The sequence below is a fragment of the Homo sapiens genome, chromosome 20 (genome assembly GCF_000001405.40).
Source record: "Homo sapiens chromosome 20, GRCh38.p14 Primary Assembly".
NCBI classification, from domain to species: Eukaryota; Metazoa; Chordata; class Mammalia; order Primates; family Hominidae; genus Homo; species Homo sapiens.
Window position 1 is genome coordinate 41025836 of NC_000020.11, and position 26821 is coordinate 41052656.

Sequence of the window (26821 nt, forward strand, 5' to 3'; positions counted from 1 at the left end):
AGGCTGAGGCAGGATAATTGCTTGAACCCAGGAGGCGGAGGTTGCAGTAAGCCCAGATGGCACCACTGCACTCCAGCCTGGGTGACAGAGACTCCATCTCAAAAAAAAAAAAAAAAAGAAAAAAAAGCAAATGCAGATTCTCCCTGGGAAACGGGGGGTTGGGAGAGTGGAGTAGTGTGGATGCATTGTTATTCCTGAAGGCCGTCCTCAAATTATCTTGGACTCACTGCAGCAAGCAGATGCCTCATCTTCTGGCCAGGGATTGATCCTGAGATGGGAAGAGTATGAGAAGAGACACCAACAGCAAGGCAAAACTGGCTCTGGCAGCTTGCTTCAGAGAAAGAGTATAGCTTTGGAGTCAGGCCGACCTGAGTATGAATCCAAGACTCAGCACTTACTAGGTGCCTGCCCTCAAACCATTATTTTTTGATAGTCATTACATACCCACAATGATCACCATGGAGTGGATGAGGAAACAGGGACTCAGAGAAGTTAAACAACTTGCCTGATATCACACAGGTAACAAACAGCAGAGCAGAATTCAAACCTAAGTTGATTTGACTTCCAAATGTGTGCTCCTAACCAAAGCAGGGTAACCTGCTTTGATTTGCCCATTTCTTGAGCACCTCTTCTGTAGGAGGGCCTGTTGCTGGGTGCTGGGAATTCAGTGGTAGGCAAGATGGACAAGATTCCCCCCTCTCACAGACCTTGCTTGCTATAGGGGAAATAGACAGGAAACCAATTACTACATTTGTAACTTAATAACAAGTGTCATAAGTGTTACAAAGGAGATAGATACTATAAGGCACCTTTTATTTTTATTTGTTTATTTATTTTTTGAGACTCACTCGCTCTGTTGCCCAGGCTGGGGTACAGTGGTGCGGTCTCGGCTCACTGCAACCTCTGCCTCCCAGGTTCAAGCGATTCTCCTGCCTCAGCCTCCCGAGTAGCTGGGATTACAGGTGTGAACCACCACACTCTGCTAATTTTTGTATTTTTAGTAGAGACAGGGTTTCACCATGTTGGCCAGGCTGTTGTTGAACTCCTGACCTCAAGTGATTGATCCACATTGACCTCCCAAAGTGCTGTGATTACAGGCGTTAGCCACCGCGCCTGGCCTATAAGGCACCCTTGGTCAGCCAGTGGAAGCAGGGTCAGTAGTGCGCCGGAGAGTCACTTTGAAAAAGTGATATTTAGGTTGATCTTGAAGCATTCACAAGATGTGGTAAACACATCTAATGGTAAACATGTGATGGTAAACATTAGATGTGATAAAGATACTGATGGTCCACTGGATGAACAGTTTTCATATTTACTTCCAAATGATTTCATAGATATTATTTCACAGATAACACTTAGGATGAAGGTAAATAAAAAGGAGATCAATTAAAATATGAAATAATAATAGTGAAAGTGGTAATAGATGTGGCAATATCCACAAAGGAGTAATGGTTAGATTAGCATATTGAGAAGATCACTTTGGCAATTGTTGGAATGCAGTTTACGAGAGGGCCAAGAATGGAAGCAGCAATCCCTGTTAGAAGTGTAGTGTTTTGGAGTGCGGTGTTTTTTGTTGGTTTGTTTTTTGTTTTTTTTAAACCAGGTCTCACTCTGTTGCCCAGGCTGGAGTGCAGTGCAGCCTCGACCTCCTCCTCGGGCTCAGGTGATCCTCCCACCTCAGCCTCCCGAGTAGCCGGGACTACAGGCACATGCCACCACACCCCGCCAGTTTTTGTATTTTTTTGTAGAGTCAGGGTTCTGCCATGTTGCCCAGGCTGGTCTTGAACTCCTGGGTTCAAGTGATCTGCCAGCCTCGGCCTCCCAAAGTGCTAAGATTACAAGTGTGAGACACCACCCCCAGCCAGCACATTGTATTAATCCAAGCAGGAGAACGCAGACTTCAAAGGCTTATGGGCAGCAGAGAGAAGTAGATGAAGCAAAGAGATGCAATCAGCGGGACTAGTGGGAAATGAGGGAAAGGAAGGTGTCAGGATGGGGCTTTTTCTAGCTGAGTGGAGTTCAGTTCATTCCCAGAGAAGCTTGAGAGGTATCCAACTATAGATGCAAGGTAGCTGGCTGTTGGTCCCTTGTCTTTAGGACAGTTTGACTTTTGTAATACAGGCGACCTCACAGAGCTATTGTGAGAATTCAGAGCTGGGCACAGAATAGATGCTCTATAAACGGTAGTTCTATTCCCCATTTGCCCCGTCCTCCCAGCATGCCAGGGATACAGGGGCGGATAGAGACAGGTTCAGTTCCCTTTGGTCTCTTGCATTCCCCCTTCCCTCAGCACAATTCCTGGGCTCATAGCGGATGCTCAATAAGTATTTGTAGAATGAACCAAAGAAATCAGACCCTTGGTGACCCAGGGCTACATGTACTCGGCGGAAAACTGGGGTTAAACCGGACCCTTGGTTGGTTGAAAAATTAAAATAATTTTTAAAAAGTGGGCGTGAAATAATCCAGAAGTTGGAGGGCCTGGACAAAGGCTGGGGAGGGGACTCCTCCCACCAGGCGGCCTCAGGGTCGGCTTAGCAAGAAAGGAGGCGCTGGGGAGACCTCTGGGGTCCCAGCTGCCAAGGTACTCGCCGCTCCAAGGAGATGCGGACGCCGGATACCAGCTCTGCCCAAGATTGCTGGGTCCCGCCGCGGCCTTTAAAGGCCCACCACGTGGCTGCGCGGCCAGCCCTGGTCCGGAGGCGGTGCCCGGGTGGCGCCTGCGCACTGCCTAGCAGAGGGGCTGGGGTTCCGAGAAAAAGCGTCTGGAGAGGAAGGGGAGGCTGCTTGGGGTGGGACGCCGTGGGAGGAGTCGGCTCCTTATGCAAATCACAGCGGAGCGCGCACGGTCCGGAGGCGGGGCTTGCGATGCAAAGACAGGTCCGTCTGGCGAACAGCGAGGGGGCGGGCCGCAACCCTCTGCCTCTTTCCGCGAGCGCTGACGTCGCCGACGTGTTGTTTAAAAGCGGCCGCGCAGGCGCAGTGAGCCCAAATGCGAACTTAGGCTGTTACACAACTGCTGGGGTCTGTTCTCGCCGCCCGCCCGGCAGTCAGGCAGCGTCGCCGCCGTGGTAGCAGCCTCAGCCGTTTCTGGAGTCTCGGGCCCACAGTCACCGCCGCTTACCTGCGCCTCCTCGAGCCTCCGGAGTCCCCGTCCGCCCGCACAGGCCGGTTCGCCGTCTGCGTCTCCCCCACGCCGCCTCGCCTGCCGCCGCGCTCGTCCCTCCGGGCCGACATGAGTGGGGACCACCTCCACAACGATTCCCAGGTACGGCCCGGCCTGACCCTGGCGGCCCCGGACCCCGGCCTGGCCGTCCCGCGACCCCCGGCGCAGGCCCCGACCCCAGCCCCGGCCCGGCAGCTTTGACAGGCCGGAGCCCCCGGTGAGGGGCCGCCTGCCGGAGTAGATCGGCTCGCTAGGCCGCGAGCGAGGGCCGCGAAGTTACAGTTCGAGGCAGGGATGGCTGCCCTCTGTGGCCACCCCCGGGTCCCCGTCCTCCCCGGGGGCGCAGGGTGAGCCAGACCCCGGCCGCGCGCGCTCGCCGCCGGAGGGGTTAAAGTGGCTGTTGTTTGATATTCTCTCCTTTTCTTTTTCCAGATCGAAGCGGATTTCCGATTGAATGGTGAGTGTGCCCCCTGCGCCGACTCCGGGGCCCCCCAGCCGCCGGCCGCCTCCCCCGCGCCCTGCCGGTGCCGGGCAGAGGACAGACATGGCGTCCCAGAGACTAAGTCCCGGCTCCTCGCTCACCGGCCCCATTGTTCCCATCGGGCCGCCTCTTGACCCCCTTTCCGGGGACCCCAGCTCCTCCAGATCCCGGCCCTCCCAAGAGGGGACAACGGAGACCCCGTGTCGTCCGCCACCGGGCCTCGGGCGGTCTTTCCGGGCCGGGATTCCTCCCGGGAAAGTCGCCTTGTCGACGGTCGGGACTTAGTCTCTGCGCCATTTTCTTTTTCTCTCTCCTCTCCTTTCTGTGCCTGTGTCTCTTTCTCTCCCTCCCTCGGCTCTTTCCTTGAGCTGCCCAGAATGAGCTTTCTGCAGAGCAAAGCCGTATAAATCACATACTTCACCAGAGAGGGAAGGCTGGGGGACTGAATTATTATTTTTTAAACTTTATTTTGGGGGTTATTCCCTTTATGCTTCATGTTTGTTTCCTTTTCTGCTTCCAGAATGAAAGATTTCCTTAAGCAACTGTTAATTTTTTTTTTGATAGGCTGTTTATGATAGGAATTATGGCTCTAAAACTAAAGCCACGCTTTGTGGAGTTCTTTATATTTCCAGGTTGTTTTTCCCAAGTTACGTTCTTTGCAAAGGTAGCAGTACCTCCCTAAAGAAAGTTTGCAAGTTCTCTGTGGGTCACCCAATGTAAATGTTGGATTTTTAAAAAATTATGTTAGTCACTGGAACTTTTCATTGTGGTCGAGGTTCCCAATGCAGTGTTTTTCTGGAAACGCAGTTTAGTGTACTTGTTGGAAGGAAAGATTGTTGAGCATCTCTTGTGGACCTGGTGTGTTGGCCTTTTCGTTTGGGTTGTAAGGAGGAAAAAAAGATTTTATTTATTGAAGCAAAGAGTGTCCAGTACCCACCCCTGCTTCCTGTTCATTCTTTTTCACGAGCCACTGTTTTTCAGGAATCAAGAACTGGCTTTTTTTTTTTTTCCCAATTCTTTATGTTTTTGAACCCTTTTCAGCCAAATCAAGGCATTTATTCTTACTGTATTTCCACTTCAGTTACCCAGGGAAGAGTCCTCCAATAAAAAGCTCATCCTTGCAGGCTTTCGAACAACCCTGTTGAAGGAGAAGTTACCTTCTGTAGTGTGCTGGGAATTCCCACTGATTTTGATGGTACATAATCCTGCTCAATTGAGTTTGGGTTCCGGGAACCTCTCCAATGGGAGAAGTTGATGAGTAGGTTTTCTAATGTTGTAATCAGCAGTCCATCATGTTAGCCTGCTCTACTGAGAGCAACCTTATGTTCAGAGTTTGAAGTGGGGCATCCAGCAGGAGATGGTACTCAGCCAGGAGAGAATCTGGTTTAAAGTATGGCATTTCTTGAGCACCAGATATGTGCCAACCACTGTGCTTGGTGCTAGAGCTGATCCTGTAACCATAACACTCCCTTGCTCTCAATTCAGTCTATTGGGGGAGACATAATTAGTTAATTATAAGGTAACTACTGGGGCATATGTGTACCCAAAATGCTTTGAAGTATAGGGGAGTTAATTTTGTCTGAGGGTGGGGAAATTTCTCAGAGGAGGTGACTTCTGAGCTGGGGGTTGTGGAAGACTGGGCGCAGAGAATTGTCAGGGGTTGGAGTGTTTCTTAAGTACGTTTAACCAACCTATCACGATTTTAAAAGAGGGAGGAGGTGAGGCCTGCAGTTTAGAAAGCCACAGTATAGACATGTTTCTTTGGGATACAGGAGCAAAGAAAGGATGTGCAGGTGAGGATGTAAGAAGTCCTTTTGACCTTGCTAGAGGAAGGTGGGATCTTTAATATGGAATGTGTTCTTTTGGCTGTCAGGCTGGGCTGAGTAGGTAATGTAAGTAATGAAACAAAGTTTAGCCCTTTCTTGTGAGAAAGTTAACTTACATGGTTCTCACCTAAGTCACGTGAATGATTGTGAGCTGGCTAGGTTATTGATCTTTACTGACATTTTTATAGAGGCTGAAGTAATCTGCGTATGTTGACTTTTAGAATGTGTTGGCTCACATTTAATAGCAATAATAGCTAATATTTATTGAATACTTACTGCCAGGCATGAATCTCAGCTCTTTCCATGGATCATCTAATTAAATGTAATCCTTGGAAGGACCCTTGTGAGTTAGGTCCTGTTATTTCTGTTTTGTAGATGAGGAAACTGAGGCTTCAGTGTATTTACTAGCTTGCCCAAGGGCTGTGAGTTGGCCACTCTAAATCCCATGAGCTGAGCCACTATGCTAGAGTGATACTATATGATACTAGCATGAAAAAATAAAAAGCCACAAATCTCTATTTTCTTACAGAGCTGAAAAAGGAGAGAAGGAAGGATTTGATAATTTGTCATTTGCTTTTTATCTAAACATGCTTTTTGAAGAGAATCTGCCACCATAAAGTTCTGACATTGGTGTAATTATTCTTTGTGAATATTGTCTGGAAGATGTGGTGTTGGTAACTATGCTTGCTATCTCAAGTAATACATTGTTAACCAGTGATTGATTTATGTAACTATGAAAAAAACTTTAAAAAAAGTAGAAATCAATGTTTAATTATGCCCAGACATGTCATTATTGAACTTTGTATTAAGAGATTGTTTAAGCGTGATTTTAAGAGGGCCTAACCCATCTTACAGATTAACTGTACAAGTTCATATATTAAAATCAAACGTCTCTCATTTTGCCTGCCCTCATCCCCTAAGATATAAAAGATTCCCCCCCGTCCCCCCACTTTGGAGCTCATTCTTCGCAATATTTAAAATTGTAGCTCTTTGCATGTAATTTAGAACATTCTGACCCATACTCAACTGCTGGGAGACTCTGTTATTTATATTTAAAATGTTGACAGTGAGTTAGGAATTTGGAGCAGAAACCATATCTAAGTCTAAGTGAAAAGACTTCCTAAGTATTGGTAGAACTAACTGTAGTGGGGCTGAGTCATTATTACAGTACTGTACAGGCTGCGTAGCTATCTGTAGAATTGATAATGGTAATACCAGGTTAAAGTGTTAGCGATTCTTCTGCTGTTTCAGAGGTCTTGAAGTTTTTGCCTGTCTGCTATGGAGATAGGGAGTTCTCCCCCATTTGACCCCCTTAGCAAAGCACAATACTTGGCTCCATCAGTCTTTAGTCTAAGAAGTGATATATAGGATCATGGTTTGACATCATCTTGTGCTGATTCTGGTTGGCTTAATGGAATCAAATTGGATGAAGGTAATTAAATATGAATTGTTTCTGATGCTAATAGATAGTTGTACTTCTGTCTGTTGGGTATGGGTTGGGATGGGCGGTAGCATAGCTGATTGCGGTGGGGGAATTTCAGATAGCTGATGATGTGGCTATCTGAAAATTGCCACTACATTTTTAAAACTGAAAAGTGATGGTACCGCCAAATGAAATCTGCAGCATCCTCAGACTCAATCAGGAAATACTTAAGCATTATGCTCCAGGGTGGTTTTCTTCCCTTACATTGCAACTGGACTCCTTGAGGCACCTTTTTAGAATTAGTGAGCCGCTAGGATTTTTATACTATGCTTTGACATAAAAGAAAGTTGCTTGTCAATATGTGTTTTTTTAGTTTACCAGCATATCAGATCTCACAAACAAATTTTAGGCTCGGATTGGATGTTTCTAGTAAAAACAAGAAAATCCAGGCATCACTAAAAGAATCAGAAATACGTTGTGGCTTGAAAGGTGCAAACTAAATAATATAGCTAGCAGTAACGGTCACCAACTCCTGCTTTTCTTTGGTTCAGTAGATAGAGTAAAATGGAAAATAGGAAACCAAGGTCAGTCCCCAAATCTCATTTTAACCAATAGCAGCAAAAAAAAAAAAAAAAAAAAGGAATTGAGTCTGACTTTTTCCCCTTGCTGTCAGCATAAAGATGGGGAATTGAGAGAGTTGGAAAGACATTCATTAGTTTGTTCAGATTATTAAATAACATGTCTTAAAGTTTATATTCCAAAATTGGGCTGTGAGGTTTTTTTGTTTTGCTTGTTTTCAGTGCATGTGTGGGGTGGGGAGGTGCAAAAAAATGTTTGCCTTCTAATATACAGCTTTGTTGTATATTAATTATATAGTAACAGTTGTCCCTGCTGCTAATGGTATGGAAAATGATTCTGTTGTGCTTTCTGAATACATATCATTTTAGAAGTTTCAGATTATACTAAAACCATGTTATTTCATATTAGTTGGACATGAATGCATATTTATATGACACATCATTATCAACTTTTGCCTTTTGCCATCTTTTTAGTGCAAAGTAAAACTGATATTCTTCAAATCCAAAGTCGTTTCCTCAGAAGTGTGTTTTGTGAGGGATTGCATCTTTCCCATGTGAAACTGTGTCGAACTCCAGTAAACTGTGTTTGCTTGGGAAAATGAATTCAAATGTAATTAGTTTGAATGAAGCTGTGGAAATGTTTGAAATGAGTATTTTGACATTGGACCTGGAGGTTTAAAAAAAAAAACCCTATTGAAAGAATAGTAAAATATATTGGATGTGGAGGTGAGAGTCAGTTGAGTGAATTTTCTGTGTTGTATGGTTTAGATTATCTGACTATCCCTTAATTATTTTGAAACCATTAACTTTGGATAATAAGGGCATTTAGGCAAACAGTTGACACATGGATTTCTTAAGGTAAAAAGTTTAGAGACTTCCAAACTAGTCCTTAAGAGGCGAATGGGTATTGTGTTTAAAGGAAGCTTTCAGATTGTGTTTAAACTTCGAGTAGTAATATTTGGAACTGTCTTTTCTCCCTATTTCCATGCCTCATACATCTCAAGTTTGAGCAGCAGCTTTCCATCCCCATGGCTCCAGGCCAATAGCTGCAGTAGAAAATCTAAAATAGAGGCCAGGGTTGGAATAATTAGCATTTTGCCAACCCCCACCCTCCCTGCCACCTGCCTATCTAGATGTGGACAGTATGTGCTGTGTTGATAGCATAGGGCCTGGGAAGGGTGGAGAGGGATGTAAATGAGGGCAGGGTGGACAAAGTTTGATTGGGGGTTGCGGGGAAGCTTGTAGAGGAATGTCTGTTAGATATTGATGGTATTTTGGTGGCGTTATGAGAAATGGCTGATAGTTTGCTGAAATGATTTAATAGTAAATAGATATTGTTGAACATTTTCTGTGTGTATAGGAAAGATCCTAGATATTTTTCACACTGGGAGAGAAGTGATGTTACTGGTATCTCATGCATATCTCTGGAGTATATAGATCGTAATATCAACTTTGGCTATCTGTATCGAAGTTTGTATTAACTGTCTTTATGTGTGTCATTTATGTCTCTTAACGTTTAGTAAGAAAGAAATTCCAAGGAAGGTAGGCAACTTTTAATTTTAACTTCTTTCCTTTACTTTTTTTTTGGGCGGGGTGGGGGGCAGACAGGGTTTCTGTTTGTTGCCCGGGCTGGAGCGCAGTAGTGTGATTGCAGCTCACTGCAACCTCTGCCTCCTGGGCTCAAGCGATCCTCCTACCTCACCCTCCCAAGTAGCTGGAACTACAGGTGCATGTCACCACGCCGGGCTAATTTTTGCATTTTTTGTAGAGACGAGGTTTCTCGCCATGTTGCCCAGGCTGGTCTTGAACCCCTGGGCTCAAGCAGCCTGCCCACCTCAGCCTCTCAAAGTGCTGGGCATGAGCCACTGTGCCTGACCCTTAATTTCTTTTTGGTAGGTATTCATTTTTCATTTGTTGTCTTAAGCTTCTAGTTTCACTCACTTACCTGTCTGCTAAATTTTTCTGAAATGTGTAATAAATGTTTTAATTTACCATCTCCCTTCTACCCTTCCCATCAGATTTGGGGTGGGGAGGCATCTCTACCAGGCAATTAATTCCCCTCTGAGCCTTTGAAATTAACATTTTTGTTTCTGTGGATTCAAGGAGCCTAAAGAACACAGTTCATTAGCATTCCTAAGAAACACCTAGGTAAGCTCCAACAAAAGATGTTAAAGCAATCAGTATTTTTAGGGACTTCAGATCTCCTGTATTTGTTGTTGTAAATGATGATGTTGGGAAAAGAATTTAACAGATCCCTGGGTATTCTGACGTTTTCCTATATTTTAAGAACGAAACCGACCCAGCCAGCTTGTGGTCCCATTATTCTTTATATTGTTTTTCTTAGCACACGCTAGCAAAGATAGATGCCTAGGACTTTTCTTGGCTATTGGAGTTTATAGAAAAAAAGTTCTTTGTTGAAGGTTAGTCCTCCACCAGAATAATACACCCTTTTTCCCCTTAGTAGAAGTCCAAATGTTAATCTTGCTATCATATATGTATGAATGCCCAGATTTATAAAGCTTTGTAGGTATATTACTGATTGTGCAGGAGACTAATCTAGGAGGCTTCAGGATCATTGTCATTTGTGGATCTCATTGGCTAAGACCTTTTACTTAACCTGACTCCAGTAAGGTAGCCCCTTTGTTTCCTTGTAGTTGACTATGTGAGCTCTTGCCAAGCAGCAGAAGTGGGATGAAGGGAACTAATTTTGAAAACTTATTAGGCACCACATTTTTATGTGCATTAAATCTGAATTGAATAAAGATAATATAGATTGCATAGGCTTATGGGGAGAACCAGAGACCAGGAAAGGAAACGTTTTTTTCTTTTTACCCTTTATGCCTTTTCATGTCCCCTTTTTGATAACATGCTGCCTTGGTCCAGATTCTGGAAACCCCACTCAGGCTGTAATTGGTAAGCTTCTAGTACAGATGTCAGAACCTGCCCTTGATTATCTGCTGTTAGAGATAGCTTGGACCCTTTGTATGTGGAATGTTAGGTCTAGGGGAAGAGTGGGGGTGTGAGGAGACAGCTGTGGTAAAATAGAAAATTGGTGTAGGATTCCGAAAAATCGAGATAAGTCCCTGTTCTTCCTATGAAACATGATCTGACCACTGAACCTTGTTTTCTTATCCATAAGCAAGGATAATATTTATGTTTCACAAACTGTTGAGAATTAGATAAGTATATGAAGGTGCCTCTCTGTCCTCATTGTAAAATGTAAACTTTGATGAGACAGCCTCTATTCTCAACTGGATCTTTATTTTGAATGTTAGGTTTGAAATAGTGATTGATGTTGGGGAGTCTGTCTTTCATTGGTATTCCCTGTTAAAGTTTTAAATCTTCTTGACATTTACACAGTGAATTGTAACATGTAACTAGTGTTGTTGAGTCTTTACCTAATTGAATCAGCAGAGCCTACACTGATGTCTTCCAGTTACAAAGCGGTCACTGTAAAGTAAAAGGTGTCTTCATATCTAGGTTTGGGCTGAGAAGGATCCAATTGTATATCTAGTTCCTACTTTTCTTTTTTTTTTTTTTTTGAGATGGAGTCTCACTCTGTTACCCAGGCTGGAGTGCAGTGGCGCAATCTCGGCTCACTGCAAGCTCCGCCTCCCAGGTTCACGCCATTCTCCTGCCTTAGCCTCCTAAGTTGCTGGGACTACAGGCGCCCGCCACCACGCCTGGCTAATTTTTTGTATTTTTAGTAGATACAGGGTTTCACCGTGTTAGCCAGGATGGTCTCGATCTCCTGACCTCGTGATCCACCAGCCTCGGCCTCCCAAAGTGCTGGGATTACATGCATGAGCCACCGCGCCAAGCCTAATTCCTACTTTTCTAAGAATGTTTACAGCAAAGTGGTCATTGCCAAAGGAACTTGTAGCAGTACAGAAGATGGGCTCAGAAATGAAAGAAGTCTATTGATGTGACTAATTTCTCAACCATTTAATAGAATTATGGATTTTCTATTAAAAATAACTTGACCCTTTTCGATGCATTTAATAAAATGCCAAGTTCATTATTTGTTAATTTTTTAAAACCACAAAATTCAATATGTCTTGTGTCAGCATATTTTTTCAAAGGCCACTATTTTACTTCTCCCCCAAAACGTTTTTAAATTAAACAGAGAACTCTCAAAGCACCTGAGAATTACTTCAGTTTTTCATTTATTCAAATAGTTGCTTAAAGTGACCAACTTGGTTTTCTTTGAAATAGTAATTCTTGGGAATAAGAATACCTTAAATAATATAATAAAGCTTATGTGTGAGAATTTAGTACCAAATGCCGTGTTAACAGTTATGCGTGAGTATAGGCATTTGGGAGATTCCATGAAAAAATTTGATAAAGTCAGTAGAAATTTCAGTAATGGCTCATAAGTCTAGCTAATGCTGAATATTGAATTGCCTTGAATTTGTTTTTTTGGAAGTGTTACTTAAAGGAAATAAACAAAAGTCATTTAAGGATGTGTTCACTAGTGTTCATTAGGTTTAAGCCAAATGGATCTTAGTAGAGATCTTACGCCATTCAGCAAAAGGATTATCACAGAAGCATCACAACAGGCGCAGACTTAAATTCAATTAAAAGTAGGCAGGAGGACATAATTTTGTTGTATAGAAATTATGGAATAGGGCCTAATTTTAAAGAGTCTTCAAAGATAAACATATCAGGAAAAATATAGCTCATAAAATATGGGGAAAAAAATCTGGGAAGATGAGTATTTGTTAATGCTCTGTAGCTCCATTGCCCTCAGTATACAAGGAATGTGCCCACAATAGGGTTGGATTTAAAAGTCTTCAAAGCTTTGGTCTCTTTTTCTTTCGTTTTCCTCTGATACAGAATGCGAATAGTCTCCCGGCCTCCAACCCCCTCTACATCCCCACCACCCCATAATAGAGACTTAAAGGGAATTTAAATTCGAGTTCTTGAGCTTCTGCTCAATGGCTAGGTCTTTGAACAAGTTAATATCAGAGCCTTAGTTCTTCACCTATAAAGTAGGTTTAATACTTACCTTACAACATTGAGGATTAAAGAGCATGAGAGGATTACTTTATGAAAGGTGAAGCTTAGAACAGAATTTTTAGTTCCTTGCCAATGCTAAAAAACAACAACAACAACACCTTTTTCAGAAATTGCTTTATTAGGCTTTTGTACAAAGGGAACATCTTTACTTTCTTTAAATTTGCACATATATCTATTGTGAAATTTTAACCAAGCTGGAGGGGTCACTAGGGAGCATTGAGTATGATACTATTGCTGTAAATCATAGAAAGGCTGGCTCAGGAGGGTACTGACTTGCTTTGACTTTGCGGCAACTTCAGTTGTCCAGTGACAAGGCTTGCTGCATACACACCACTTTGTTTGTTTCTCATACCTTAAATTGTGGATTAAAAATCTTTGGGGCAGGCCTGGAGGCTCATGCCTATAATCCCAGCACTTTGGGAGGCCGAGATGGGCAGATCACTTGAGCCCAGGAGTTCAAGATCAGCCTGGGCAACATGGGAAAAACCTGTCTCAACAAAAAAAATACAAAAATTAGCCAGGTGTGTTGGTGCATGCCTGTAGTCCCAGCTACTTAGAAGGCTGAGGTGGAAGGATTGCTTAAGCCCCGGGAGGTGGAGGTTGCAGTGAGCCGTGAGCATGCCACTGTACCTACCCCGTTTTGGGCAACAGAGTGAGACCCTGTCTCAAAAAAAAAAAAAAATCATCATCATCTTTGGCAGTGATTAACTTTCTCCTTTCACACTTGGGATGGTGCAATATTTGGCATCTACTTAGGAAGCTAAAATTTTCACGTTTAATTGTAAATGGAAAAGTTTAAGTTGCCATATTCATTCATACAAACATTCAGAAAGTGAATATTGTGACTAGACACAGATGAACAAGACAAACCCACATGCCTATCAGGATGAACTTTGAAATTAGTACGTTGTAGGTATATACAGTCACTTCCTCTGTTGAGATTTTTCATTAGGCCTCAGTACAAAGGCTGCTGTCATACAACATGAATGGGGACTGGAGGTACTTTCTGGCAGTTAATATTTCACTATCAGTGCAAGAGAGTGACGTCTCCATTTAGTCCTAATCGTGAGTTTTTCCCCCCTTAAAGAAATTGGAGACCTAGGACCTTGGATTTCCAAAGATTTCCAAACTCTTATTTCTTAAAATGTTACAAAAAATGGTTTTTTTTTGTATACCTATATACCCATTAAACTTTTTTGCCTGAAATAGGCAAAAAGATTTAAGTTCTGTGTATTTATTTCCTGTTATCTTTTTGTATCAGACATCCATGTTGCATGAATTTTAGAAAAATAGTTTTCAGCTGGGCTTGGTAATGGCTCATGCCTGTAATTCCACCATTTTAGGAGGCCGAGGCGGGCGGATCACGAGGTCAGGAGATCGAGACCATCCTGGCTAACACGGCGAAACCCCGTCTCTACTAAAAATACAAAAAACTAGCCGGGCGTGGTGGCGGGCGCCTGTAGTCCAGCTACTTGGGAGGCTGAGGCAGGAGAATGGCATGAACCCAGGAGGCGGAGCTTGCAGTGAGCCGAGATTGCGCCACTGCACTCCAGCCTGGGCGTCAGAGCGAGACTCCATCTCAAAAAAAAAAGAAAAATAGTTTTCACATTTCCTGAGCAGGTAGGTTGTCGGAATGGCTAGAGATGGTCACATTCTGTGTGAGAAATCATGTGACAATAGCTAATTCAAGTATTTGAAATAATTTAAATCCTTGAACTGAATTGATTGAAATAAAGTATTTAAAATCACCATCTTCACATATTTGAAGAACTAAAATCTTAGAGAATAAACTCTACTTAAAGTCCTGGGAAACTAATTTTATGAAACTATTGAAATATTATTGCCCCTTCCTAATCCATGAAGTATCTTGATATGGGTAATACATAAAAGCTGTTAAAGCTCTTCAGAGAAAGATGCAGAGTACATAGTGGTATTACTTACAGTGGTTTGAATACTAGAAAAGTGATCGGGACAAAATGTTAGACTTACTGTGCCTTAATCATACAGTCAGTGCATTTTTGCAGGAATGGATGCAATGTAAGTAGTTCTTACTATTTAATACCAGAAATGAAGAAACAGTAGCTTCTTAGGAATTGATTGTGGCTCAGGATCTATTTCTTAATTTTTAATGCTTCCACTTAACCAGGAGAGGAAAGGGAGGAGAAGGAACACAAATTTGTTAGTCTTTATAACTACTGGCTTGTTACACTTGATTTCCAAACCACAAGTGCTCCAGGGCCAGGCACCCCACACTGAGAAGTCCCTAAGAAGTGCATTTATTGGAAATTTGATTTTTAAAAAAAACCTCATCTCTACTAAAAATACAAAAGATTAGCTGGGCCTGGTGGCGCATGCCTGTAGTCCTAGATACTCAGGAGGCTGAAGCAGGAGAATCACTTGAACCTGGGAGGCAGAGGTTGCAATGAGCCGAGATGGCACCACTGCACTTCAGCCTGGGAGACAGCGAGGCATCGTCTCAAAAAAAAAAAAAAAAAAAAAGACCATGTTAGGTTCTGTTTAAGTAGTATTTCTTATACCCTGGAATGAATGAATGCCTCTTAGTCTTTAGAATTTCATAAGGTTTAGCTAGGTATACTCAATACTTCTCCATTTTACTACATATTTTTAGGAAGGCACTAGGTATTGTGAACTCCTTGAGAGTTCTAAACATCTCAGAGCCTGTTTGAGTATTGATGGCATAGTCACAGATACTCCATTTCCTTTCTAGGGAAGTCTGCCTGCATTACCACGTAACCCCAAGCCAGAAGTGTAACCACTTTTCTCTGACTTGCATTGAGCTTTTGTTATCCTCTTTTAATATTTCATTCTGTAGTAGTCTGTATTTATGTGTTTTCCTTATTAAGAAGTGGCCAGCACTTTGGGAGGCCAAAGTGGGTGAATTGCTTTAGCCCAGGAGTTCTAAAGCAGCCTGGGCAACATGTCGGGACCCCGTCTCTACAAAAAAATAACAAAAATTAGCCAAGCATGGTGGTGTGCACCTACAGTCCCAGCTACTTGGGAGGCTGAGGAAGGAGGATCAGTTGAGCCTAGGAGGTTGAGGCTGCAGGGAGCCATGTTTGCCCTACTGTGCCCCAGAACGAGACCCTGTCTCAAAAAAAAAAAAAAAAAAAAAATTAAGAGCACTGTTTCATCCTGTATGGTCAATACAGATGCTTTTACCAAATGTTTCAGTTGTGAAGTGCAAACTCCTTTCTCCCCCCAGCTGGTTGAAGATCAAGTGGGAGACTTTTGAGAGCTTAACAGTAAGTTTTCCTTGTTTTTCTCAAGCTGATATGCCTAAAAGTCACCTGGGGATGATTGGTGAAAATACATATTCCTACTCGTACACCTTGAAGTTGATTCTATAGTGGAAGGTACTGAAAATCTGCATTTTTAATGTATCTTCAACAATCCCAAATGATTCTGACTAATGCAGGTGACCCATAACCTCCTTTGGAGAAGTTGATCTATCTGAACTTTACTATCTTATTTGGCTAAAGATCTATATTTTGCTTCATTCAATTACGATACTCCACAGGTTAAGGTATAAAGCTTACAGGGTGATGATGATGATGATGATGATTATTATTATTATTATTTGGAGACAGAGTCTCCCTTTGTCGCCCAGGCTGGGGTGCAGTGACACGATCTGGGCTTGCTGCAACCCCCACCTCCTGGGTTCAAGCGATTCTCCTGCCTCATCCTCCTGAGTACCTGGGATTACAGGCACACCACCACCACACCTGGCTAATTTTTGTATTTTTAGTGGAGACGGAGTTTTGCCATGTTGGCCACGATGGTCCCAAACTTCTGGCCTCAAGTGATCCGGCTGCCTCAGCCTCCCAAAGTGCTTAGATTACAGTAGTGAGCCACCGTGCCCAGCCAAGATTACAGGATATTTTTAAAGGACCAGAACAGTATTTTTTAATATATGTTTATAAAAGCTTGATACTTCACTCTAAGTTATAGTTTCTACCTTTCAGTGAGCATTTACCAAATAGCAGATATAGTTAACTGCCTTTGCAGCTGTTTTACTGTGTGTCAGAATCCTAATCCTTTCTCCTACTTCAGTGTTTAACAAGCCATTTAATTCTGATGTTACTTTTTCGGATTGGGTGACAAGCAGAGCACAATGAGCAGGGTTTGTTTTCATACTAATACTAGGATGGTTAAATCAGGACTTTAGAAAGTAAGTGGAATAATTTAGTGGAATACTGAAAATCCAGTCTGTGGAGCTCACTGCCTTTAGATTAAATTAGTTGGGGACTTCAGCTCCTGATGGTACTGATTGAAATGGAAGCATTTGAATAAAGCAGTATAGTTGACGCTTGAACAACACGAGGGTTAGGGATGCTGACTCCTATGCAGTCAAAAATTCGAGTTATAACTTTTGACTCCTCGAAAACTTAACTAATAGCCTACTGTTGACCAGAAGCCTTACTGATAACAGAAACAGTCAATTAACACACATTTTGTATGTTATATGTATTATATACTATGATCTCACAATAAAGTAAGCTAGAGAAAAGGAAATATTAAGAAAATTGTAAGGAAGAGAAAATATATTTACCATTTATTAAGTGAAAATGGATCATCATAAAAGCCTTCATCCTCATTGTCTTGTTGAGTAGGCTGAGGGGGAAGAGGAGAGTTTGGTCTTGCTGTCTCAGGAGTAGCAGAGGAGAAAGAAAACCCTCATGTAAGTGGACTCAAGCATTTCAAACACATATTGTTCAGGTGTCATCTGTGGTTCTCAATGTGTGGTTTCCTGATCAGCAGAACTGCATTGTTTGAAAACTTGTTGGACATGCAGATTCTCGGGCCTCACCCATACCTACTGACTCTTAAACTCTGGGAGTAGGGTCTTAGCCATTTGGGTTTTAATGAGTGTCTACCAGGTGATCAGATGTGCACTGAAGTTTCAGAACCAATAGAATAGAGCAAGATACCAGTTTTGTAGTAATTCAACCTCTTAAGCAGTATTCCTTGTTCTTTCACAAGGAACCATGTATGGAGTTCATTACTTGTGCTTTCTTACAGTTGTGAAGTTGGAGTAATTCATAATCGGGGGAGGATCTTCTGGAGTATAAAAAAATTTAAGGAGCAGTTATATGATTAACACCAGAAAGGTTTCTTGTATTTCTACTGAATATATGCCACTTCAGTAGGAGAGGTGTGTTCAGTCTTATTCTTTCTACAGCTAGTGGCCCAGAGAATGGCCTGCGCATTTCAAGCCCTGTCAATGAGAATTGTCTAGACAAAGAAGGTCCCTTGGTTGAATTAGTAATAGGATACATGAAACAATGTGTCAGCACACTTAAAGTCTTTATGGCCAGACAAAGTATGGTCTTAGTGTGTTTGGAGGCCCCTGACCATTGGAAACAAAGGCAGTTTAGGCTGAGCTGTGGATCCGCACGTAGGCCAGAGGTTTGTAGTCACTCTCACTCTTCCCAGGCATTAAGCGTTCCTTAATGGAAGCAAAGGAGGACAAGCCTACAGGAATGGGCCTGCCCTAATTGAGCTGGCCTGAGAAGATACATTTTCAGGTTAGACAAGTCCTTTTTCCCTTTTAAGTTCTGCCTCTTGGGAAAGAAGATGCATTTGTAGTGCAGGGATGTCCTTGTGAAAATGTGACTTGTTATAGAGCAGTATTTGAAATGCAAGTGCCCAGCCGGGCGTGGTGGCTCACGCCTGTAATCCCAGCACTTTGGGAGGCCGAGGCAGGCGGATCACCTGAGGTCGGGAGTTTGAGACCAGCCTGACCAACATGGAGAAACCCCATCTCTACTAAAAATACAAAATTAGCCAGGCGTGGTGGCAGACACCTGTAATCCCAGCTACTCGGGAGGCTGAGGCAGGAGAATCGCTTGAACCCTGGAGGCGGAGGTTGCAGTGAGCCAAGATCATGCCATTGCACTCCAGCAGGGCAACAAGAGCAAAACTCCTTCTCAAAAAAAAGAAAAAAAGAAATGCAATTGCCCATCTTAAGGGTCTTGTACTAGTTAATTACTTTCAGAGATAAGTAAAAAAATTCCAGTGTTGTCTTCTATTAAGAGAGCAAAGGTAGTTAGTAAAAATGGGATTTGTTTGCCCTGCTCCCGAAGCTTAAAATAATTGCTCTATCTCAGTTTTGTCTTATGCTTCGGCAGACTAATAACTTCAGTTGAAATGTTTTCTGGGCAGGTGTTCATTGAGGGCCTGATTCTCCAGAGGTTCTGTGCAGAAGCAGGCTGCTTTGAGATAGCCAGCTTAGCCAGGCCTGGGAACCACACAGAATAGTGCAGTACCATGTAGGGAAAAGTCCTTGACTGGGCTGCAATAGGCAGAGTGGAGAGTGCTAGGAAGCAGAGTATTTTCCTGGATAATTTCATCCAGTAGAACTTTTTGTCATGATGGAAATGTCCTATATTTGTGCTGTCCAATATGGTAGCTATTAGCCATATGAGGTGTGTCTGTGTGTGTGTGAGTGAGAGAGAGAGAGAGAGACAAGAGTCTTGCTCTGTCATTCAGGCTGGAGTGCAGTGGCGCGATCTCAGCTTACTGCAGCCTCTGCCTCCCAGGCTCAGGTGATTCGACCCTCAGCCTCCCGATAGCTAGGATTACAGGCGTGGGCCACCACGCTCAGCCAGTTTTTTTGTATTTAGTAGAGACGGGGTTTTGCCATGTTGACCAGGTTTGTGTCAAACTCCTGGCCTCTAGTGATTCACCTGCCTCAGCCTCCCAAAGTGCTGGGATTACAAGCATGAGCCACTGCACCTGGCCTATATGAGGTTTTGAGCCCCCTTGAAATATGTGGTAAGTGGGACCAAAGAACTTAATTATTTTATTTTATTTTATTTTAATTTAAATATAAACTAGCCAATAGTGGCTACCATATTGGACAGCTCTAGATAAAATTTAGGTAAGACCCAAGAGATTGTGGTTTAGATTCTGCTTGGAATATGAGTGATTGGGGCTCTTGGAATTTAAAAATCCAAAGACACGTGTGAATTTGATGTTATGAGTTTGAATAACAGCCTTCCTTCAGTATGTCTACATTGTTTTATCCTGACTGACATTGTAAGTCCTAAGAGGACTTACAACTGGTAAGTAAAGTTGTGTTTACCAAAGCAGTTGGAAGTTCAGGCAGTTGTACGTTTTATTTGACCCCTTAGAGCTAAACAGGTGAAAATTTCAGGTCCTTTGGATGAAGTAAGTTCTCATTTTATCTCAGCAACCCTATGAGGTAGGTTATGTCTGTTGCGTAGTTGACAAAACAGATGAACTTATATTTATGTACACCTTTATGGATTAGTAGCCTTTAAAATGGTTAGTTTTATCCCACAACTTCATTTGAAATTGTAAGTTTCTAGCATGTTGCCTATAACAAGAAGGTAATTTATTTCTATTTGTTAAATTGTTATCAGTAATAAGTCAATATCCTACTATAAGTGGTAGAGAATCAAAGATTGTAGACTACCAAATAGCACCCAAGAGGCTAATTCATGCAAGGTGTTGCTTATAGTAAAAGCAGATCAGAACTCAGCTGCTGTATGCCATCTGGGGTTATCTTCTCACTTGCACGCTCATGACCAGTGTAGGCTGCATCTTATAAGTAATCTGGCTCACAGTTAGCTAGACATATATTAGTCTGATGGAACAAAATCCGATTGTAGCTTTGACCACTATGAGGACCACTGTCATATAAGGTCTTAGATACCAACTTGAGTAAATTGCTTAAGGACTGGGAATAGATCCAGATTCCTCCAGGTTTAGCTTCAAGTTGTGATCAGTTTTCGTGGGATGCAAGGAGAAAATGAATAGGAATGAAATAAATAGCTGATATTTGAACATTTTTAATGCCCTAGGCAGCGTCTTAAGAATTCTAAGCTTTCATTTATCAATCCTGAGGTAGTTAACATTACTATTTCCAGTAATGTTCACTGGGCCAGTTTACTTTTGAAGAAATTGAATCTCACGGTTTAAGTAAAGTAACTAGCTCAAGGCTATATAGTTATAACTAAGCCACAGAGCAGGGAGGCTAATCTAGGCCTACCTCATGCCACAGCCTGAGTTCTTAGTTGTGATACAAAACAAGGTAAAGGGGGACCTGGGGTGACTTAGTTGCCTCCTGAGAATTCTGGGCTGTGGTGGAATTACCCATCAGACTGGGGGCGCCCATCTCTTCACTTATGATGTGTCCTTAACAGACTAAATGCAGGCTCTGCTGCACTTTAATGTAATTCTTTCCCTATTAAGGGAAGCTTGCTTGCCTTTGCAGCAAAGCCCCCTGGATAGTTTATTTTTTAGCAGTTCAGCTTGTGCTTGGACCCAGTTGTTCCAGAAATCAGTAAAACCTATTTGAGTATTCAAGAAAAAGGATCTTTTTGTTAACTAAGGATTAACTAGAAACCTTATTTTATAAGGGTTCCTGAAGTCTGCTTATTTACTAAGGAATTTCATCAGAGGTGGTTAGCATTTTGTGAACAAGTATGATGTTGTTCCCACTTCAAGGGGAATAAATAACAAATTTAACCAGCTTGCTGCTTAAGAAGCAGAATTAGCAGTGGGCCAGTCATTGGCCTCTCTTCAGAGTTCTCATGTGACTCACTTAGTTTTGCAGAGTGAGGTAGATTTTAACCACTTTCAAGTCAAGTTGATTGGCCATTCATGAGCTGTGTGCAGGGAGAGAAGAGAGACGAGAACAAGTTAGCAGAAAGCTGAGGTGTGTTAGACGGGAGTTGTAGGTAAGTCAGGGAGGATATTCTTCATTTAGACCCTGAGCTTGAGTAAGACACCTTTCTACAGGAGACATTGCGGATACTTTCTAGTTAGTACTAGCGCAGTGTTCTGCAAACTACACCTGCTTTTGTGTGGTCCACGAACTAAGAATGGTTTTGTATTTTTAAATTTAGGCATGTGCCACATAACAAGATTTCTGTCAACAATAGACCACTTATATAATGATGGTCCCATAAGATAGAAGGTGGTATTTTTACTGCCTCTTTTCTGTGTTGCAGATACGTTCAGATACACAAATACTTAACACTGTGTTACAGTTTCCTACAGTACTGTAACATGCTGTACAGGTTTGTAGCCTAGGAGCAACAGGCTATACCATATAGCCTAGGCGGTAGTAGGCTATACCATCTAGGTTTGTGTAAGCACACTATGATGTTTGCATGACAAAATCGCCTAATGACACATTTCTCAGAATGTAGTTGGAGGAAAAAAATTGAAAGGAGAGTATTACTTCATGACACAGGAAAATCATTTGAAATACAAATTCCAGTGTCCATAAATAAAGTTCACTAGAATGTGGCCATGCTCATTCATTTACATGTAATCTGTGGTAGTTTTTGTGCTACTGTGGCAGAATTGAATACTTGCAGTGGAACTTGAATGGGCTACAAGGTGTATTTAGTACCTGGCCCTTCACAGAAAAAGTTTGCTGACCTGATTGAATGTGCTTGTGTGTATCACAGGAAGCTCACCAGGACTCTTGGTATGTAGCCTCTAGCTCCCAAAGGCATCTGAGCCCCACTGGCAGGACTCAGTTACCTGTCTCTGTCTAAGCATGACTCCACCCATTAGCGTCCAGACAACGAAGAAAACTTCTATTTTAAAGAGCTTGACTAACCCCCTCCTTATTATCTAAGTTAGAGTAGCTGTGCCACCCCTTAAGTAGCTTTTCCTTCTTCCTTTCAAATAGGGGTTGGAAGAGTAGCAGGTGAGAACAACCTCTTTCTTCCTCAATTGTAGAGACTCAATAGTCTAGGCTATAAATTAAAAAAAAAAAAAAAAAATTCCCCAGAGGCTGACTCAGCACATGCCTGCCTTTTAAAGGAACAGAGAGACCCAATTGGAATAGAAACTGAAAATAAAATCAGCAGCACATGAATTTTTGTAGGTGGCTCGTATTTGCTATTAATATTGCTCAGAAGACTCAGGAATAAGAAATAATAATGCAGGGTTTCTTCAAAATATGGTTCTGGACAGTGGATTATAGTTACCTGGAGAGCTTGTGTTAAAATATCTGAGGATGATTCCAAGTACCAGGGCTTATACACAGGAATACTTGAGAACCACTGCACTCAAGCATTTAAAATTTTCCTTTTACCTAAATCCACATGGGCCAAGACAATTTTTAAAATTCATAGAATTCATGTGACCAGACGTAAGGGGTCAATAAAGGTCATTTTATAGATCAGAAAACTGAGACCCAAAGCTGAGAAATAAGTTATCTAAAACCCCACCAGGACATTGCATTAAAGGAGTTGCTCTAAGCGTGTCTTCTTACTATTAGAAAGTGAAATTGACTTTTAAATCTGTCACTTAGTTTTTGGCATAATAATAAAACAATGAACAGTCTGTTCTGGCTCTAATTGCGCCTAGAATCTCCAGATCAGAAGACCTTCTTGTAGATCAAGTAACATACTTCTCTGAAAGACAGTTTGTCGGTCCTATCACTGAAGTCTGAATTATTTTTTTGATTTTTAAATATAATTAATTGGTCCCTGGAAATGAGAACCAGAGGAAGATAAGAAGATGAACTTGAATTTAAGGACCATAATGGAAGGAGTGGGATGGGAAAGAAGGCTGTAAAATAAGACAGTGGTTGTGGAGAGACAGATTAAGGTAAGGAGAGAAGGTTGTAAAATAAGACAGGAAGGGGTTGTGGAGAGACAGATTAAGGTAATTGTGGTGTTGTAAAGCCATAAAAGAAATTTAAATGCGGAAGTGGCCTGGAAGAGAAAACATTCTCTGATCATTTAACCCTTTTGTGTGTGTGTCAGTTTGAGGCGTAAAGTAGACGAATAGCCTCCTTCTTGTGTGTCTTTTCCATGGCAAAGCCTTTAAGGATAATAGCTGACCACTAATCTCACACAGCTGCTGATGTTTAAGAACCTAATTCTTGAAGTGTTTTTAAGTCAGTTTGTGGCATTTCTTCTGAACACTTGGGCACTTTGGAAATTGTAGTGACAGGTTTTAGAAATTTGAAGTTGTGTTGCAGAGGTGATAACAAAATTGGGTCTTTGAGCAACTCTGAGTCTTTTAATGCAGTGCACTTCTAAGTTTCCGATGGTATTTCCCCAAGTTTTGAATATTGAAAAGAAAGACCACACTTTGCAAAATAATTGGCAACTTTCATTTAATTCAGTTTGACCCTGTCTTGAACTTGGTCTTTGTAACTTCTTATGAGGGTCTTTTCCAACGGTAACATTAGAGGCTGATTCTGGAACTTCATGGAGGCAAGTCCAGTGAAACTTGGGCAGTTAGGGGGACCCTTTCCCTCTCCCTTTTCAAAGTTACTCAGTCAGCAGCTGCTACTGTTGGGATGGCGCGGTCAGGTGGGTATTATGCTTATTATGAAACTTGATGAGGGCAGGGACTCAGTTTTGGGGCTGAGTTGTATTTCAACACTTAAGTGGCACTCAGTAAATACTTGAACAAATGAATATTGTGAATCCCAACTTCCTTAAGGACAGAAGAACTATTTATACTTGTCTGCCATCTTCTTAGCTAGAGATTTTTTTTTTGTTTGTTTTGTTAGCTTTCAAGTTGAGGTCCCTAACAGGGGAATCCCATAGTTTCAATGATGAACAGGTCCATGACAAAAATTCTTGTTTATATGCAATACACATTTAGGGAGAATAAATGGTCATGTGGACTTTAAAAATTGGAAATGTTACTAGTCTCTTCTCTCATTCTTTTGTTTTGTTTTATGTTGAGGCAGAGTTTCACTCTTGTTGCTTAGGCTGGAGTGCAATGGCACGATCTTGGCTCACTGCAACCTCCGCCTCCGGGTTCAAGTGATTCTCCTGCCTCAGCCTCCCAAGTAGCTGGGATTACAGGTGTGCATCACCATGCCCGGCTAATTTTTGTATTTTTTAGTAGAGATGGGCTTTCACCGTGTTGGTCAGGCTGGTCTTGAACTCCTGAACTCAGGTGATCCACCTGCCTTGGCCTCCCAAAGTGCTGGGATTACAGGCATGAGCCACTGCTCCCAGCCCTCATTCATCAGTTTTTTAAGGGTTTCTTTAGAGCTGAATCCTCCCAGCAGTTTTCTTTCCTTTTGAATTCCAGAGCTCTTTGGGCCTTTAGCCAGAAACAGTCTCTGTCCTGCTTACTTTGAAAGGCTGTTAACTATGCCCTGGAATTTTGGAAATGTTCTCCTTGAGAATTGCTGTAAAGTAGTGATAAGGACTCTTCTGTAGGCTACAAATTGAAACCAGCCACCATTAAGATGGCTCACAGACAGGGTGTCCTGGATTGAAACTGGACCAACGTTGGTATAGTCTGAATTTGAGGAGTAAAAAGAAATATGCCCTTCCCTCTCCCCTAACAGTTGGGGAATACTTGTTTTTACTCCTCAACCATTCCCCTTTTAATGATGACAAGTTTTCAGGCTTTTTCACTGCCTTTAGTTTTGCATTAAGTTCCTGGGAGATTCACACACCCCTGATATTTACTGCACTCCTGGATGCCAGTTTTTTATCACTCAAGACCAGCTTGTTATCTGTCCTAGACAGAAGCCATCTTCTTTTAAAAGTATTAGAACATACTGGGTATAGAGTGTTAAAGAGAATGTTGATTTTTTTAAAACTTCTGCTTTTGGGGATGTGATATGGGTTTGAAAGTCAGGGAGGAAGTAGAAGATGTAAGGGTTTGCCCCAGTACAAGAGTTTTAATAATGAGGTGATAAATATTTTCTTTAAATAATTTATTCACCCATTGTGTTCACTCAAGTGGTTCTAGTGTTCACTTTCCTTATGCGCTAGTTGTATATTTGTATGTCAGAGAAGAGCAGAGATTATCTTTGACAGAAGTTATATTGTGAGTGTCTTTTTGGAGAAGGTAGGTTTTGATTGTGTAACTATGCCACACCTCCATTCCCCATACACTTGACTTGATGATTATCTTTGAAGGAGGAGCCCATCATATTATACAGCTGCCCTAAGTCTCAAATCTATCATCAAAAGGCAGTGTAAAGGGGACTGGCTCAAAACATGGCAAAGAGTCTCCTTTATATCAGAAAGCTCTCTGCCTTTGCTTATAAGGCAGCAAAGGACTCTTCTTCCTGCCCTGATCTGATTACCCTAAAAGCTTTAAGATCATGGAATAGTTGATAAAACAGTCAGTATTCTGTGCTGATGACTTATCCTTTTCTCCCTTAAGAAAGAGTAAATGTTTTTGCTTGGATTGAGTTTAGAGACACCAGATAGAATAAGATTGGCAACACTGTTAGCCACCTGCTGACCACAGCTAAACAGGCATATGTGCTTCTGCATGGGGAATGCTATGGCGTTAACAGTGCCTTCCTTAAAACCTGTAAGTTCGTTAGGCTTCCGGGTACCAGGGTTGTTAGAGTAGGCCACAGTTTACTTCCTTTTTCATAAGTGCTTTTCTTTCCTGGATCTCAGTATAGGAAGGAAAATCAGACAGCATTTCTCAGTTGTTGGCTCGGTGGGCATTGTGAATGGGTATGGTTGCTGCCTCAAATGCACATATACAACCTGAGCTAAGTTGTATGAAATGATTGAGTAGGCTGACTTCAGTTCTATGTAAATTAATCAAGGAGAAGGTTTAGGAATGGTTGTACCGCATTGACAGTTGTTAACATGTTTATAATTTCTTGGAGATTAGCCAGGAATTCTGTTACAACTACACACAAATATTGATTGACTTTCAAAATAAAATTCTTTAAAATCACTGAAATTTTCTGAGCCCAAGTTTCTTCATCTGTAAGATAAGCAAATTTACTAAGGTCATGGGTATCTAGTACATGATGGACAGAGATTTGAAGCTCTTTACCACTGATTTATGCTACCTTCTCATAGATCTAGTAGTTAAGTGACTTTTACCCAAGGTCATACACTGAGTGATAGAACAAGGATTTTGAATAAGATATTTTTCACTGTTGCACTGGTCTGCTTTCTCCAGCTTCCTTCAGAGGTCCCTAAAGGGGACCTCTGTGCTGCTCTGCAGTGCCTCTATCACATTAGGGTTTGGTCATGGTCTTTTGTGCTCATCATGTTTGAACATGTTTATCAAAGTATTTTACAGACTTGGTTATTTCTTCCCCTCATGTAATTTGTGTATTTGTCTGTTTTCCCTATGGAGAATGAACTTTTTATCTTATATATGCCTGATGTGACATTGATTTGGCCACTTGGGGTTGACCTTGTACTTGGTTTCCATATCTGCAGCTTCATTGTCATTTTGGGTTTAGGCCAGCTTTCAGGAACTTTTTAACAGTTGGATCAAATTTTGTTGGATTCATTTGATACTGAGTTTCTTATTCCTGTATATTTTGTTTCCTTTCTATCTAAGCAGAGAACTAGGACTCTA

At 42.0% G+C, this 26821-nt stretch overlaps 1 protein-coding gene across 1 annotated transcript in view, besides 3 other annotated features; it reads left to right on the forward strand.

Moving 5' to 3' along the window:
* Positions 2686-3037: a silencer, noted in NCBI's record as "fragment chr20:39657161-39657512 (GRCh37/hg19 assembly coordinates)". NCBI's record gives its function as "represses an EF-1alpha promoter that drives an FKBP-Casp9 reporter gene in an ReSE screen in phorbol 12-myristate 13-acetate-treated (for megakaryocytic differentiation) K562 erythroleukemia cells {active_cell/tissue: K562(+PMA)}" and the evidence as "EXISTENCE:reporter gene assay evidence [ECO:0000049][PMID:32094911]".
* Positions 2723-3017: an origin of replication, noted in NCBI's record as "Prom amplicon; peak of nascent strand synthesis detected by quantitative PCR of size-fractioned DNA". NCBI's record gives the evidence for it as "EXISTENCE:fractionation evidence [ECO:0000100][PMID:12004060]".
* Positions 2987-26821, forward strand: part of TOP1 (DNA topoisomerase I) — a 95666-nt gene continuing 71831 nt past the window's right edge. The window contains exons 1-2 of the mRNA NM_003286.4: positions 2987-3265; positions 3596-3620. Of these exons, the coding sequence (NP_003277.1) occupies positions 3233-3265; positions 3596-3620 (58 nt within the window). The 5' untranslated portion in view covers positions 2987-3232. The remainder of the gene's footprint in view (positions 3266-3595; positions 3621-26821) is intronic.
* Positions 3258-3327: a silencer, noted in NCBI's record as "silent region_12912". NCBI's record gives its function as "represses an Ori minimal core promoter by ATAC-STARR-seq in GM12878 lymphoblastoid cells {active_cell/tissue: GM12878}" and the evidence as "EXISTENCE:reporter gene assay evidence [ECO:0000049][PMID:35858748]".